The sequence below is a fragment of the Homo sapiens genome, chromosome 2, assembly GCF_000001405.40.
Source record: "Homo sapiens chromosome 2, GRCh38.p14 Primary Assembly".
In the NCBI taxonomy this organism is placed as follows: Eukaryota; Metazoa; Chordata; class Mammalia; order Primates; family Hominidae; genus Homo; species Homo sapiens.
In genome coordinates, this window is record NC_000002.12 from 169,526,651 (window position 1) to 169,544,375 (window position 17,725).

General features: G+C 37.2%; 1 protein-coding gene across 13 annotated transcripts in view, besides 1 other annotated feature; it reads right to left on the bottom strand.

Moving 5' to 3' along the window:
* FASTKD1 (FAST kinase domains 1) overlaps positions 1,858-17,725 on the bottom strand; it is a 45,358-nt gene continuing 29,490 nt past the window's right edge. For 7 of the 13 annotated variants that reach the window (NM_001322048.2, XM_006712750.5, NM_024622.6 and 4 more), the window contains 6 exons: positions 13,401-13,529; positions 11,363-11,491; positions 10,577-10,690; positions 4,702-4,840; positions 3,937-4,051; positions 1,858-3,276 (listed from right to left, as the gene is read on the bottom strand). In NM_001322048.2, the coding sequence (NP_001308977.1) occupies positions 3,175-3,276; positions 3,937-4,051; positions 4,702-4,840; positions 10,577-10,690; positions 11,363-11,491; positions 13,401-13,529 (728 nt within the window). In that variant the 3' untranslated portion in view covers positions 1,858-3,174. The remainder of the gene's footprint in view (positions 3,277-3,936; positions 4,052-4,701; positions 4,841-10,576; positions 10,691-11,362; positions 11,492-13,400; positions 13,530-17,725) is intronic. The other 6 variants (NM_001322049.2, NM_001281476.3, XM_047445832.1 and 3 more) reach the window with 2 other exon arrangements.
* Positions 10,790-10,938: a silencer, noted in NCBI's record as "fragment chr2:170393950-170394098 (GRCh37/hg19 assembly coordinates)". NCBI's record gives its function as "represses an EF-1alpha promoter that drives an FKBP-Casp9 reporter gene in an ReSE screen in K562 erythroleukemia cells {active_cell/tissue: K562}" and the evidence as "EXISTENCE:reporter gene assay evidence [ECO:0000049][PMID:32094911]".

A 17,725-nucleotide genomic window follows, 5' to 3' on the forward strand; every position in this document is an offset into this window, starting at 1 on the left:
ATCACATTCAACTCTGTGCAAGTCATCAATTAATCATCACTTTTAGCCACACACCAACTTATGAGTCTCACATAGCTTTCATAGACATATATTTGACTTCTATCCTTACCCATATTATTTTCTGAAAAACCTGACTTGGGACTAATTTGGAACATTCATGATTATTTGTCAAGGAGTTGCATAAAGAACAGATCTAAGTGTCCATACACCTTTTTTTCTCTACCATAAATACAGAAATATATTTAACAGAAACAAGTTTTATTTTGGGTATTTAAAGTAGAATCCTGATTACTTTTCTATATTGAAAAATACTTTTCTTAAATTATAGCATGAATACAGAATCATGAAATTCCCAAAGTGGAAAATCCTACAGGTTCTTCAACAAATAAACTGTTAGGAAGAGGAAGGGGCACTTATAAAGACAGACTCAAAAGTGTAGAGGAAGAGGGGGCCACAGGGATAATGGTGTCCGGAAATGTACATCTGGGTGATAAAACTGTAAGAAGTACTTACTATAAAATCAGGATTGAGGTTAATTTTAGGGAGAGAATGCCAATCTACATAGATGTAAAATTAAGTTGTAAAAATAATGCTTCTTCCAGGGTTTGAGGATGATGATGTTCTGGAATCAGATATGGGTGATGGTTGCACAAATATACTAAAAACCACTGAATTATACACTTTTAAAGGGTGAATTTTATAGTATGGGATTTATATCTCAATAAAAAATGCTTTTGTTTATAACAATCTAAGTTATTTAGATAGAAAAATCATCAATCAAAAAATAAGAGTATCTATATAAAGAAAACCATTTGAATCAGATAGCCTAGAGCAAGGGTCCCCACCTGGGCCACATAGCAAGAGGTGAACAGTGGGCAGGCAAGTGAGCATTACCACTTGAGCTCCACCTCCTGTCAGATCAGCAGCTACCTTAGATTCTCATAGGGGGACAAACCCTATTGTGAACTGTACATGCGAGGGAACTAAGTTGCATGCTCCTTATGAGACTCTAACTAATGCCTGATGATCTGAGGGGGAACAGTTTCATCCTGAAATCATACCATCCCCCAACTGCTGTCCATGGAAGAACTGTCTTCCGCAAAAAGGTTAGGGACTGCTGGCCTAGAGAGAGTAGGAGATGTGACAGGTAAAAAGTTAGATCATGTGTAACAACTAGTGAAAGTATACCAGGGTTATTCAATCAAGATTTCCATGTACCACAAGTATATAATGACTAAATTTTTAATGATTTATATCCAAAGGAAACCCTTTATAACCCTCATCAGCCTAATCATTTTATTCTAAAGTTGCATAGTAAAATATTTTAACCTATTCAATGGTCTAGTTCTTGTTATCACTTGCTTGAGAAATGGAACACATTTCATGGAAATTAAACACTGAATTTAGCATTTCCACTAATATGACTATGAGGAAATTCAGAAAGAGGAAGAGACAATGAGAAATCTTTCACTTACTATTCTGATTTTGTTTTTCACAAAACGTTTTGTGAAGTTAATATTCCACAAAATCATTAAGTATTGGAGTTCAAATCATGCAAAGTCATTGGATATTTTAAACATGTACTTCAACTAAGCCTAAGCCAAACATCAGTGAAGCAATTTACATGCAAGACACAAATTTTAAAGCTATGCTTATGATTGAAGGCACTCCAGCTACCAACTTATTTTGAGATAGTATGAATTGAGAAGGTCATGGAGTCAGAAGATAGCCACGGTTCAGATGGTCAATTACCTCCACCACCACCAGGTGGCGTAACTGAGAGTAGTTAGGCTGTGGCCTGCTGAGCACAAAACCATCACTCTTAGAGGAAGGGTTGGGGATTATATCACACAGTAGGCCCTTAGTAACCATTTTATTGAATAAATGTGTTGTAAGACAGGGAGAAGCCATTATTCCCTCAATGTGTAGGATTACACCAGGTCAAGATGGTCCACTCAGCTACTACCCCATTTCTTTGCTTCCATTTAGGAGAAAATGTATCTCCTCCCATTTTCTCTTGAACCAGTCAGGCTTTCACATGCACCACTTCAAAACGACTATTTTCAAAGTACTAATGATTTTCATGTTGCTAAATTTAATAGCCATTTCCCATTTGTCATCTTTCCTGACCTATCAGCAGCATCTGATACAACTACTCACCTCCCCCTTGAAATGCTTTATCCACTTGGCTTCTAGGAAGTATTACTTACCTTCCTTCCTCCTACCTCATTGGCCATCCCTGCTCAGTCTCCTTTCCTGATTCCTCCTCTTCCTCTTAATCTTTTAATGTTGGGGCACTTGAAAACTCAGTCCTCAGACCTCTCCTCCATTCACACTCTTCTCTAATCTCATTTTAAGCGATTTCATCTACTCTCATGGCATTGAATACTGCTGACATTTATACATTTATATCTGGGGCCTGGACCTCTTCCCTGACCTCCAAGCTCATTTACTGAATTCTCTATTTGATATATCCACTTAGATGTTTAAAAGACATCACAAACTCAACATATCTAAAACAAACTTGTGATCAACCCCCACCACCTGCCCCCCATCTTGCTCTTCCTATAGACTATCCCCATCTTAGTTAATGCTAATGACATCCTCTTAGTTGCTTAGGACAAAAACTTAGAATTATCCTTGACTCCTATTTGTCTCATACCTCATATCCAATCAGTGAGCAAATTCTGTTGCCTTTATCTTCAACATACATCCAAAAAATCTGACTACTTCTTATTACCTCCACTGCTACCACTCTCTCCAAGCCACCATCCATTGTTGTCTGGATTATTGCAATGACCTCGTAAAGAGTTTTCTTTCTTACACATTTGCCTCATCGTAGTCTTTTCTTATCTCAACAAGGTAGCCAAAGTAACGCAGTTAAAATGTGAATTCATATCATTCCTTACTTGAAAAGCCCCCAATGGCTTCTCATCTCGCTCAGAGTAGCCAAGAGGTTGTATTTGACTCTGTTATCTCTTATCTTTTCTCTTATACACTCCCACCCCACTCCCCACTTGTTCTGCTCCAGCCACACTGGATCCTTTGTTATTCTCAAACATGCCAGGCATGTTCCCACCTTAGGACATTTGTACCTATTTTTTAATTGAGACAGGCCACTTTATTAAAATAGGTCCAAATGTAACACACGATAACATTCATTTTAAATAAAAACTACAAACATGACTTGACTTCTCCAAATATACATTCTCTCAGGTAGTCCATCCGAGCATCCTTTGTTGACAGTGCCATAGAGTTCCATTCAAACTGGGAAATCTGAAAATAAGTAATGTTGTTTGAATGAAAGTTTTAAAGCAACAACAAAAAACATTGAGGAAGACATATAAGCACTACTGATCAAAGCTGTAGGAATCCTATGAAATTAGTTTACATAAGGATAGCCTGTGAACCTCTACTGGAAGCCAAGTGGGTCCTTCTGACATTGCCTAGAATACTTTTTTCTGCTCCTTTCATCCTCCTTTTCCTACAATACCAATGATGGACATTTTTTCCTACATAGTCTTCTATATTCATACCTAGTTGTTTCCTCTGATAACTCTATCCATCTCTACAGTGCCTCTCTCCTTTGTAAGATATAGAAATCATAAGATATGGATATTCTAAAGACAATAAAATAAATGACAACTTTTATTTATTTATTTTTATGAGACAGGGTCTTGCTCTGTCACCCAGGCTGGAGTGCAGTGGGATGATCACGGCTCACTGCAGCCTCAATCTCCTAGGATCAAGCAATCCTCCCACCTCAGCCACCCAAGTAGCTACAGGCATGAGCTATTGTATCTGGCCTGTTTGAGTGATACATTTTAAAAAATATATTTAAAAAGGTAATTCTGGAACTTTCACATTAAAAGGAAGCACATGTACAGCTAGTGTCTCTGGGCTTTTTAGAGGCTGAATTACATGAGTATTTCATACCTGAATTACACGATACCCCAGAATTTCCAAATGTCGTTTTTTCATAGCAGATTTTCCTTTCATGTGAGGGATATTTCTACAAAGTGCTTTTGAATCCAAAAATTCCAAAGCAATCCTACATAAAATAAAAAAATATTTACTCCTAAAATCAGAATAAGAAACTGAATAATTACAAGCTTTTCAGAAACAAGATTGCATCTTTATAAACTAACAAAAGCCAATGAATATAAATGAGTATATCAAGTTATGTTTCTACTAAGAAATTAGTAATTGATGACAAACCTATTTAGTTACACAAAATTATTGTAAATATTTGTCTGCTTTCATCCATTTTTTTGGTCCAATATATATTTACACATGCCTACTACATGTAAACCACTGTGAGGGGTACAAATATGAAGCAACACAGCTTATAGTCTAACAGAGAACACATGATGTATAGTAAGTTACTGTAATGCAGTGTAGGAAGTGGCTAAGTGCTATGAGAAAAGTAGAGAGGTATGGGAGCGCAAAAGAAGATACTATTTTACTTCCAGTGGAGGACAATTCTTTTAGCACTTTAGTTAGGGAGATTGCTAGGCTTTGGACAGAAGAAGGGAGAACATTAAAGCAGAAAGGAGAGGAAAAGCAAAGTTACAAAGGTGGAATGCATGACATATGAGGAACAGATTCCACTACCTTCAATCCTTGATCACTGACTTCAGTATAGTACACCAAATTTAACATTTAGATATTAATACAATCTAAAACTAAGAAATAAATTACCTTTCAGCCCCTGGTGGCAGCCTTGATCCAACTATTTCGATATTTGATTCCCAGGGCATTTCTGGTAGTTGTCCCAATGCTATATTATGGCTTCCATACGGAAGAGGTTTTTTTCTTTTATCCAAGATACACTCAAAATCTTAAGGAAGCATAGAAACTGGTAGTATGAATTAGGTAAAGTCTTACAGATAAAAGTTTAAGATATATTTGAAATATATATGCATATAATATTTGTACACACACACACTCACAAAAGAATGACGAACCTCTCAGATTATCCAAGTTATTTTTATAAGATCTGGTCCAATGGCACCTCTCTTTGGAAATCAATCAATAAAAAAATCAACCAGAAGAATTACAAAACAATATTAAGTACTAGGCTACATTTAGCGCTGGGCTAGGCCAAATCACATTAAAGAGTTTCAATCTCTTTAAGGCTCTTGATTACATTTGGAGAAAGCTAAACCAACTCATCTGAAAATTAATAAAGAAAAAGATACAAGCATTTATCCTGTCTTTTCTACATGAATTGTACATAAGAGTAACTAAACAGTTGATATGGGAAAGTCCTTTTTAGACAAATTCCAGCTAATAAATGTAGAAGGCATGATAGATGTAGAATATCGCTACTTTACCACCCCTCTGAATGATGGATTTAGGCAATGAGTGATCATTAATAACTGCTAAAATCAGCAGGTGAAAAGCTGACAGGGGAACTTTCTGTTGAATGAATCAGCTGACAACATACGAACCCACTGATGAGTCTTAATGTATAAAAGACAACCAGGCCAGGCACAGTGGCTCACACCTGTAATCCCAGCATTTTGGGAGGCCGAGGCAGGCAGATTGCTTGAGCTCAGGAGTTCCAGACCAGCCTGGGCAACATGGCAAAACCCAATCTCTACAAAAAACTTAAAAAATAAGCCAGGTGTAGTGGTAGCTACTCCGGCTGAGGAGGCTGAGGTGGGCGGATCCCTTGAACCTAGGAGGTCAAGGCTGCAGTAAGCCATGCTTGTGCCACTGCACCTCAGCCTAGGCAGCAGAGCCAGACAAAAAAAAAAAAAAGGAAAGAAAGAAAAAGAAAAAGACAACCAGCCTTGTGTGCCTCCTGAGAGGATGCAGAAAGAAGTACAAGCCACTTATGAAGTTTTTGGCCAAAAAGAAAAACCTAAAAAAAAAACCTAAAATCTAATCAAATCTCTAGATATCACTAATGGTTTACAGCAAACCCAGGTTTACAGTAAAAACATTAAAAACTATCAGATGACATTTTAAATGTTATCACAGGGCTGCAATTAGAAAAGTTCGAAATGTGGAAAAAAAAAACTTATTCTCAAATTTTAAGTTAAAAAAAGAAGTAGGAAAGGAAAAGTTGAACCAAAAACTGCAAACCAACCAAGTGGAATGTTAAGATCCCAATTTGGACAAACTATAAAATAAACATAAAAGACACTTAAAACAGGAAAAGCAAAGGTATAGGGGTGCAGTGCATGAGACGTATGAGGAATAGGTTCCACTGCCTTCAATCCTTCACCATTGAGTTCATTATAGTAGGCCAAATCTAACATTTCGATAAAATGTTAAATTTTATCTAAAATTTCCCATATCTCCCTACTTATGTTACATTTCCCATAATTCCCATAAATGTTCAATTTTATCTAAAATTTCCCATATCTCTCTACTTATGTGACATTTCCCATAATTCTACTACCTTCAATCCTTGATCATTGAGTTCATTATAGTATGCCAAATCTAACATTTCAATAAAATGTTAAATTTTATCTAAAATTTCCCATCTGTCTACTTACGTTAAATTTCCCATATTGCTGAACATTTCTTAAAAGATATTAAGAAATTATTATTAATGGTTATAGGATGATAAAGATGATATTGTTGTTATGTTTTTTAAGTCATTCTTATCTTTTAAATATACTTCCTGAAATGATGTCTGTGATTTGAAAAGAATCAGATGGAACTCTGGTGAAAAACTCAGGCACTGAACCATCTTTAAATTAATTATGAAAGATGAAATATATAGAATTCATTAAGAGAATGAATTCTAGAGCCAGAATGCCAAGCTCAAATCCTGGCTCTGTCATTTGCCAGGTATATAACCTTGGGCAATCAATAATGTTTGTGGACTTTAGTCTCCTCATCTGCAAATAATTTACATACTTCATAGGGATATAAGTTTACTATATGCATACACACACACAAGTACTTACGAAGTACTTAAAATGGTGTCTAACACATAATAAGCAATATATAAAAATAAACCTATTATTGTTGTTATATGAAATTGCAGCATTGTTTGACAGATGGACATACCAGCAAAAAAATCTTACAGATTGATTAAATCATAGCATACTCAATGAAATATGCAGTAACTAAAAAAGATGTTGTATAAGCATATCTGTTGGCATAGAAAAATATTCACAACATATAAAGTTATAAACTGCTATGATCTAAATGTGTCCCCCAAAATTCATCTGTTGAAACATAATCATCAATGTGTTAATAATAATAGTGGGACCTTAGGCCAGGCGTGGTAGCTCACACCTGTTATCCTAGCACTTTAGGAGGCAGAGGCAGGAGGACTGCTTGAGCTCAGGAGTTTAAGACCAGCCTGTGCAACATGGTGAAACCCCATCTCTACAAAAAACACAAAAATTAGCCTGGTGTGGTGGTGTGTGCCTGTAGACCCAGCTACTCAGGAGGCTGAGGTGGGAGAATCACTTGAGCTCTGGAGGCAGAGGTTGCAATGAACCGTGATCATGCCACTGCACTCCTGCACTGCACTCCAACCTGGGTGACAGAACAAGACCCTTTCTCAAAAAAAAAAAAAAAAAAAAAAAAAAAAAAGAGGCAGAACCTTTAGGAGACGATTAAGTCATGAGGGCAGAGCCCTCATTAATAAGATTAGTGACCCTATAAAAGAGCATCCTCTGTTGCCTTCCTGTCCCTTCTGCCATGGGAGGACACAGCATTCAAAGTACCATCTTGGAAGCAGAGGCTAGGTCCTTAGTAGATACCAAACCTGTTGGTATCTCGAGCTTGGACTTCCTAGCCTCCAGAACTGTGAAAAATAAATTTCTGTTGTTTTTTTTTTTTCTTTTTTTTTTTTTTTTGATACAGAGTCTCACTGTCGCTCAGGTTGGAGTGCAGTGGCACGATCCCGGCTCACTGCAACCTCCGTCTCCCGGGTTCAAGCGATTCTCCTGCCTCAGCCTCAGGAGTAGCTGGGATTACAGGCGTGCGCCACCACGCCCAGCTAATTTTGTATATTTAGTAGAGATGGGGTTTCACCATGTTAGCCAGGCTGATCTCGAACTCCCAACCTCAGGTAATCCGCCCGCCTCTGTCTCCCAAAGTGCTGGGATTACAGGCGTGTGCCACTGCGCCCGGCCAAATTTCTGTTGTTTATAAATTAACCAGTCTCAGGTATTTTGTTGTAGCAGCAGAAAAGGACTAAAACACAAACACTACAGAAGAAAACCTTTTTGTCTTTTTTTTTTTTAAGTTAGGAAAACAGACACCAAAAGCAAACAGCGGCTATATCATGGGTAATTTTTCTTTTTTGTTATCTTCCTTTTCTAGTTTTTCTATGTTAAGCATGTCTCATGTAATTTTTTTTTAAGAGATGGGGTTATATTCATATTGTTCTGAAGAAAAAAAGAAAAATATTAAAAAGAGATGGCTTCTCACTATATTGCCCAGGCTGGTATCAAACTTCTGGGCTCAAGTGATCCTCCTACCTCTGTCTCTCAAAGTAGCTAGGATTACAGGCTTGCACTACCATGCCCAGCTTCAATGTTTGTTTTTTGTTTTGTTTTGTTTTGTTTTGTTTTAGAGACAGAGTCTTGCTCTGTCACTGAGGCTAGAGTGCAGTAGCGTGACTGTAACTCACTGTAGACTCAACTCCTGGGTTCAAGAGATTCTCCCACCTCAGCCTCCTAATGGGACTACAGGGGCATGCCACCATGCCTGATAATTATTTATTTATTTAGAGACAGGGTCTTACTATATTGCCCAGGCTGGTCTCAAACTCCTGAGCAATGGGACTAGAGGGGCATACCACCATGCCTGCTATTTATTTATTTATTTATTTATTTATTATTTGTTTATTTATTTATTTAGAGACAGGGTCTAACTACATTGCCCAGGCTGGTCTCAAACTCCTGAGCTCAAGCTATCCTTCCACCTCAGCCTCCCAAAGTGCTGAGACTATGTGTATGAGCATGAGCCACTGTGCCCAGCCAATTTATGGATTTTTGTCACTCATACCCAACTCAATCCTGATTAACATAAAATCAAAGGAAAGTTGTGTTTTATAGCACAAGATGAGAGCATTAATGATTATCTAGTTCACCTTCCTGCCCAGTGCAAAAATCACACACATCTATCATCTGAATACTCAGCCTCTGCCTCAACATTACTTCTTCAGAAAGCAGTCAATAATTCTCATTATACCAAGTTAAAGTCTGCTTCCTTTCATTTTTACCATTTTGTTCATCTTTGAGATAGAGATATCTAGTTCTTCTACTTAACAATCCTTCAAACATTTTAAAACATTATGGTCCCCATAAGACTTCTATTTTTCAGACTAAACATCCTTTTTTTTTTTTTCAAGTAAGATTTATTGGGCTGGGCACAGTGGCTCACACCTGTAATCCCAACACTTTGGGAGGCTAAGCTGAGGCAGGAGGATCGCTTGAGCCCAGGAGTTTGAGACCAGCAACATAGTGAGACCCTGTCTCTATAAAAAAATTAAAATAAAAATAAATTCATTGAGCACTTACTATGTTCCAAGGATAGTGTTAAATGCTTTACATGCAATATCTCAGTTAATCCTATCAAGTAGGCATTATTATCCCCATTTCACTGATGAAGAAGTTAACAAGGTTCAGAAGAACTTGCTCAAGGATTGAAATCCATGCAATCCTAGTCCTCTCTAGTTCTGTCTACGACATGATTAGACAAGATCCTTCACTATCTGTCCTCCTTTGTTTCTAGACCCTAATTGTCACTGTCTCTTAAAAAGGACAACATGCAAAAAATATATATATATATATTAAGGTGTCTAAAAAATAGAATACAATGGGATTACCAACTTTTTTGTTATTATTAACAATATAGTTTAAATAGTATTTGATTTTTGGCTACCATTTACACTGTTAGTTTATACCAAGTTTATAATCCTTTTAAATATCCTGTATATGCAGAGGTTTTCTAAACCTAAATTTAGAAAGTTTATGTTAATTATCTTGAAATTTTATCTTTTTCATTTAAGATCACCACTTGAATGTGGCAATATCTTTGAAAATTTTATATTGCCATCAACGTAAGCTAGTCCACCAGCTTTATGTGATCCACAATTCAATCAGAATGCATTCTACAACTAGACCAGTTGAGAAACAAGATTAATCAGGTTAGCATCAAGCACAGTATCTTTGGAAATCTTTATCCAGGCTGATAGACCAACTTAGTTTTTCAGATGAACTTAAAACAATGAAATAGAAATTAAAGAGTCATTTCCCTTATTTTCACACACTGAATGGAGAGGACAGAATCTTTTGAAGATCCAGAAATGTTCAGTGAATCTGAATCTGGGTTTTACTTAGAATTGGTGGAGGACTGACCTTAATTTTTTTTTTTTTTTTTCTAAAGAATAGAAAACGCTCTTGGTTATCAACACTGGGCCACGGGAACTTGAGGATTTATTCTATTGCTCTTTCTATCTCCGTTTGAAAATTTTAATAATAATAACAACTTGAAAAAAATTCAAAAAACTTTAAAAAATTCCAACTGATAAGATGATTCTATTCAAATTAGTTTGATTTTCTGAAAGTAACTAATAACCTACCCAATAACTTACCTACTTTGTGGTAATAAGGCGTAAGAACCGAGGCTTTTACACAATTGATTCCTCCTAGTACCTCTGCTAACATTTTAAAAATCTGCTGTTGTGTTCCATCCATGCCACCAATACCTTTATAAAAAAATAAATAATTAGTCTACTTAATCTTTTTTTTCTTTTTTTTTTTCCTTTGAGACGGAGTTTTCGCTCTTGTTGCCCAGGCTGGAATGCAACGGCGCGATCTCAGCTCACTGCAACCTCTGCCTCCCCAGTTCAAGCAATTCTCCTGCCTCAGCCTCCCAAGTAGCTGGGATTACAGGCATGTGCCACCACGCCCAGCTAATTTTGTATTTTTGTTAGAGATGGGGTTTCTCCATGTTGGTCAGGCTGGTCTCGAACTCCTGACCTCAGGTGATCTGCCCGCCTTTCAGCCTCCCAAAGTGCTGGGATTACAGGTGTGAGCCACCGCGCCCGGACTTAATCAGTTTTTTAATGAAAATCATCCCAGTTCTACAAACTGAAAAATAAAGATTAATAATTTCAATAAGAGCTTCAATGTAGTGTCTTATATAATGACACTAAATTCAATACAAGTTCTTTGCTCTCAACTAGGAGGGTTATGTCCCAAATATGAAGAAATTCTTATAATGTTTCACCTACAATATCTCATATAAAATATTAAACAGGTCATGGCACTCTTGGGAAGGCTCGTGTCATGTTTAAGTATAACAAGATTAACAATGTACTACCTAATAATTTACTTTAGAATCAAACTTTGCTATCTGACTAAAAGAAAACTCAAACCTTTATTATATTGTTGACAGAAGCGGTCATGAAACCATGGAATCTGAAACTCAGGGCATTCCAAGCAGACTGATCTATTTAACTCCATAAGATGAAACTGGACTCTTGCACTTCGAGATGGAGATAAAACTGAAATTAATAAAATACTAATGAATTTTGATAGCTGAGACCTAGGAAAGACAACCCATTTTTTTCACATTCATTTATCCCCACTATTAGTAGATGCTTTTATTCTAACAGTATTTAGAACTGTTTACATTTCTAATTTACAAATGTATGCTTTATATTTTTAAATTATTACATTCAGTGACATGATTAGGACCAACTCCTGCACTGTTCTCATTAATCATGAACGTTAAAAGTACATTTAAAAAATACTCCCAGCAGGGCACGGTGGCTCATGCCTGTAATCCCAACACTTTGGGAGGCTGAGGTGGGCGGATCACCTGAGGTCGGGAGTTCAAGACCAGCCTGACCAACATGGAGAAACCCCGTCTATACTAAAGGTACAAAATTAGCCAGGCATGGTGGTGCATGCCTGTAATCCCAGCTACTCAGGAGGCCAAGGCAGGAGAATCGCTTGAATCCAGAAGGTGGGGTTTTGGGTAACCAAGATCATGCCATTGCACTCCAGCCTGGGCAACAAGAGCAAAACTCCGTCTCAAAAAAAAAAAAAAAAAAAAAATACTCCCAAGATTTTTCATTCACCTAATATTCCACACTTAGGATTTTATCCTAAGGAAACAATGATTCATGTATAACAAATCATTACTTACAATGATGAGGAATTGGAAACAATCTGTGACAAATTTTATTATATCCATGTAACAGGATATTATGTAGCCAATAAAAAAAGACATCAAAAAATATTTAATAATATGGAAAATTGCTCAAAATATAGTTAGATGGAAAAAGGCAGCATATAAAAGTGAATATATAAATAATCCAAATTTTGTTTTAAAATTCATATAGGGGCCAGGTGTGGGGGCTCATGCCTGTAATCCTACCACTTTGTGAGGCCAAGGTGGGCAGATCACTTGAGGTCAGGAGTTCAACACCAACCTGGCCAACATGGTGAAACCTCGTCTCTACTGAAAACAGAAAAATTAGCCGGGCATGGTGGCACATACTTATAATCCCCGCTACTCGAGAGGCTGAAGCAGGAGGATCAATCACTTGAAATGGGAAGGTGGAGGTTGCAGTGAGCTAAGATTGAGCCACTGCACTCCAGCCTGGGAAACAGAGCAAGACTCCATCTCAAAAAAAAAAAGAAAAAGAAAAAGAAAGAAATGTAAAATAAAATAAGTCTTATAGGGACTGGGTACAGTGGCTCATGCCTGTAATCCCAACACTTTGGGAGGCCAAGGCAAGAGGATCACTTGAGGCCAGGAGTTAGAGACCAGCCTGGGCAACATAGCAAAACTCTGTCTCAAAATATAAAAATAAAAAATTTAACAAATTAAAATTAAATACAGGCTGGGTGTGGGGGCTCACACCTATAATCGCAGCATCTGGGAGGCCAAGGAGGGAGAATCACTTGAGCTCAAGAGTTTGAGACCAGCCTGGGCAATACAGTGAGATCCCAGCTCTTAAAAAAAAAAAATTAGCTGGGCATGGTGACACACGCCTGTGGTCCCAGCTACTTGGAAGGCTGAGGTGGGAGGATCACTTGATCCTGGAGTCCAAGGCTTCAGTGAGCTATGACTGCACCACTGCACTCCAGCCTGGGCAACAGAGTGAGACCCTGTCTCAAAACAAAACAAAAAAACACAGATATATAATCATTCACATAGGAGAAGGAGAAAGACAAAAAAGAAATACTCCAAAACATTAAAAGTGGTAGTTTTACTTGTTAGTAAGATGGGTAATTTTTTATTTTCTATTTTATTCCTGTGTTTTCCAAATTTCTACAATAAGCATGAATACTATTAGAAACAGAAAAAAGTTATTAACATTAAAATTCTTCAGTATAGATAGACCTGAGACTTGGATATAAAGTACAACAGATAATTAAATAAATTAAAAGATAGATACATACTTTCAAGTTGAGAATCCAATCTAGCTAAGAATTTGATGTTAAAAATTGCCTTTAGCAGATCTTCTGGAAAATATTCAAGTGTGGCCAAAGAGAAACCAAGAAACACTAATATAAAAGGATCCAATATACCTAAAAGAAAATTAAGATTTTTTTAAAGGTATAGCTGCCTCACTTATATATACACTTATAATTTATTCAGGCAAACCCAGGTTTTTAAAAAAAAGATACACAGCCTTGACAAAACTAATCTACACTGTTACAAGACAGGATAATGGTTAAGTGGTTACCTTTGGGTGTGAGCCAAGTAGGAAAAGGGGACAAGAGGAGAAGGGTACTGTGATAATACGCTGTGTCTTGATCTCAGTACTGATTCCCTAGGTGATTCAATTTGAATAAATTCACAGTATTATACTAAAGTTATACGAACATTTGTTATTACACTTTAGTAAGAAGTTTTAAAAATAGCCTTGGAAAAAGAATCCAAAACAAAAGGACAGTGGTGCATGTAAAAAGAAGTGATCCCAGTGTTGATGATAATAATACAATAGTGTTCAGAATATGTTACATACCATTCTAAACACTTTAGATATATTAACTCACTTATATCTTATATCAGTAGAAACAATTATCTCCACTTTATAAATAAGCATTAGGAAGCAGAGAGGTTAAATGACTTGCCCAAGATCAGAGTTGGCAGCGGAGAGTAGGGTTTAACCCAGAATGTCCAGCTCTGGAGCCTGGATTATTATACTATGCTGCTCTCTGGGAATCTCAGATCTCCAAGCAGAGTGTACACATGTTTGAGGCTGAGGTCTTGCCTAGCACCTGCTCCTTTACTTGTCACCCAGCAGCATGGCAGATGCCCCACAGTATAAGGCTTCAACTATTTACCTGATTTGCCTCATCCAAGAGACATTTCTAATGTGGCGGAAAGGGTCACCTAAAATGCCTGACTGGCATAGGTATTCTTACTAAGGACAGAAGAGACAACATTAAATCTTTCCTTTTCAATTTTTTCTAAGTTTATTTAATAAAGAAAGACCAGATCATAAATGAAGTTAATAGTGATGATTTCTACCAGCAAAACTAATCTGTCAAAATTCGTCTTTACTCAAAACAATGAAAATTATTACTCCATTAGTTATTTAAAATTTTACTTATAAAGTTCCCTAGGAATTTTTAAAACTTTCTCTGATTAAGTTTTAAAAACTCAAAGCTGTACTTCTCAATCTTTCTTTCCTTATACTCTTTAGCAACAAAATTTTCTAATTTCTAAGACTCTATTTGGAGAACCTGGGAAGAGATGCACTTTCATTTCCTTCTGGTTGTCAACACATGACTGAACAACCAGGAGAATACAGTCTAAGTCTCAATTTAAAGTCTCATCTTTCTACATATAGTTGTGTTACTAAAAAGGGGTATAAATGTATACCATACATGCAACACATTCATATACATATATACATACATATATCCCAGCCTCACGTTGTAGGCTGTGACACAGTAGTATCAGACATGGTTAGATGCTGTCTGGCCCATAGATCCCACAAAAATGTAGCAAAGTCCATTAGCATGATGCAGACACAATTAATATATTTATACTTGCTTCATACCAGCTTCACCAGAGGTCTAAAGATCTATATAAATCCCTAATGTAGAGCCTAACATGTTATGCTGGATATGGAAGCTCTCAGTATCTGTTGCTTGGTAGATAACTGGGTAATTCTTACTCTCCAGGCAGAGCAAAAAGATCTGAGGAAACCAGTCTCTGGCTGTCTCTCCAACTTTATCTCCTACCAACTCGGTCTCCCTCATCTACTCCTGCCACACTGAATCCACTGTTCCTGGAAAAAAACCAAACATGCTCTCACCCGAGGGCCCTTTCCAGTTCCCTTTCTTTCATCCTGGGACTCTCTTCCCTAACTCTTGACATGCATCACTCTCTCAATTCATTTAATCCATGGTTAAATGACATCTCCTCAGAGAGGCAGTCCCTGAATCCCTTATCCAAAATAGCACTCCATCTCACACTTACCATGATGCTCCAGCCTACACACTTACCCTGCTCTAATGTTCTTGAAGGTACTTATCACCATCTGACCTTAGAGCCTTGTTTATTGTTTATGTCAATCTCCCCCTAACAGAAAGTAAACTCGATCATGGTAGTTTATCTGTTTTTACTCTCTCCTGTATCTCCAGCGCCTAGAAGAATACCTGACAGTAAGTACATGGAAAGTGTTGACTGAAAAGGAACGGTTACTGAGCATTTCTCCTCTAAAGCTTCTATATCATACTGACAAGTACATAGTGTGAGTCTGAGAAGAAAAGTCTCATAAAGCTCTAATCCTTCAAGGTCAAACTGTTCCAAACACAACTCAGGACCCAAAATAAAAAGGAAAAGGAAAAGGAAAAAGAAAAAGTAATTTCCTGTCTCTGCTGTCCTCACATATTGCTTCTGCTAAGGCTAACAGCAGGAAGGACTATTTCTATTCTACTTTTTTCTAGTACTGAAATATTACCAAAAGACTTTTCTGGCCAGGTGTGGTGGCACACGCCTGTAATTCCAGCACTTGGGAGGCTAAGGTGGGAGGACCGCTTGAGCCCAGGCATTTGATATCAGCCTGGGCAACGTAGCAAGACCCCATCTCTAAATTTAAAAGATAATTTTTTTAAAGACCTTTTTAAGAGATGCAAAATAATCAGCATAAGAGCAGCAACCCTTCAAACAATTTACAAACATCTATTAAGGTTCTTAAGAAACATTTTTTTACTTTTAAAAAACAATCTGGCAAGACTCCGTCTCAAAAAGAAAACCAAAATCTAAATAGACAGAAACAATCAGACATTATGTGCCTCCAGATGTGATCTAAATATAAGGTATACAGCACTACATACAAGTTATTTTTGCTGCAAATGTTTAATCTGAACCTAACCAAGCATCTATACCTAATTTCTAGTTTACTACAAATGCAGGAGATGGAGAAGCAAGTTACAGGAAAACAATCAGACAAATCCAGAATGTGGCACAATTTATAAGAAATGGCCAATCATTTTATAAAAATAAATATCAAGCAAAAAAGATGGAGGAAAAGACATAACTACTCAATGCTGGTTGTTTAAAAAAAAGTTATAGCCAGGCACGGTGGCTCACATCTGTAATCCCAGCACTTTGGGAGGCTGAGGTGGGTGGATCACCTAAAGTCGGGAGTTCGAGACCAGCCTGACCAACATGGAGAAACCCCGTCTCTACTAAAAATACAAAATTAGCTGGGCGTAGTGGCGCATGCCTGTAATCCCAGCTACTCGGGAGACTGAGGCAGGAGAATCGCTTGAACCTGGGAGGCGGAGGTTGCAGTGAGCCGAGATTGTGCCATTACACTCCAGCCTGGGCAACAAGAGCAAAACTCTGTCTCAAAAAAAAAAGTTATAAAAGATAATTTGGTGACTCGGGAAAATTTGATTACGGACTAGGTAGTAGATGGTACTTGTTCATTTTCTTTGGTACTGGTAATGATACCAGTATTGTAGTTACATAGGAGAACGTCCTTATAACCTGAAGTACACAGAGCTGACAACTGGAAGGTTCATCATACGCATACGCGCTTGTGCACATACACAGAGCAAATGTGGCAAATGTTAATCAATACTCAATCACGACTGTGGGGCTACAGTTCATTATTATACAGTTTATTATTATACAGATGTTTGTTGTATTGTTCAATTTTTCTGTATATTTGAAAACCTGGATAACAAAAAGTTAAGAAAAAAAAAAACCAAGTCAATGCCAAGAAAAGAAAAAAAGGAAACAAAATTCTAAACTATAAGAGACTGAAGAGATAACAACCAAACACAATGAGTGAATACTGGGTGCAAAACAACTACTCTAAAATGTATTTTGGTAACACTTAGGGAGACTGAAACATGAACTGTGTATTAGATATTAGGGGACTATGATTAAGTTTCTTAGGTGTGGCAACAGTATTGTGGTGGTACAGAAGAATGTCATTATTCTTAGGAGATGTATGCTAAAGTAATTAGGGATGGAGGGTCACAATGACTACAACTTTGAAATGGCTCAGAAAAAAATAAGAGAGTCAGAGAAACAAACGGATAAGGCAAACACTGTAAAATGTTAACATTATTGAATCTACACGGTGAGTATATATGTGTTCTTTGTTTAATTCTTTATACAAGTTTGACATTTTTCATAATTAAAATGGATACAAAGTTTTTATAGGGCCGGGCGCAGTGGCTCACACCTGTAATCCCAACACTTTGGGAAGCCTTGGCGGGTGGATCACCTGAGGTCAGGAGTTCCTGACCAC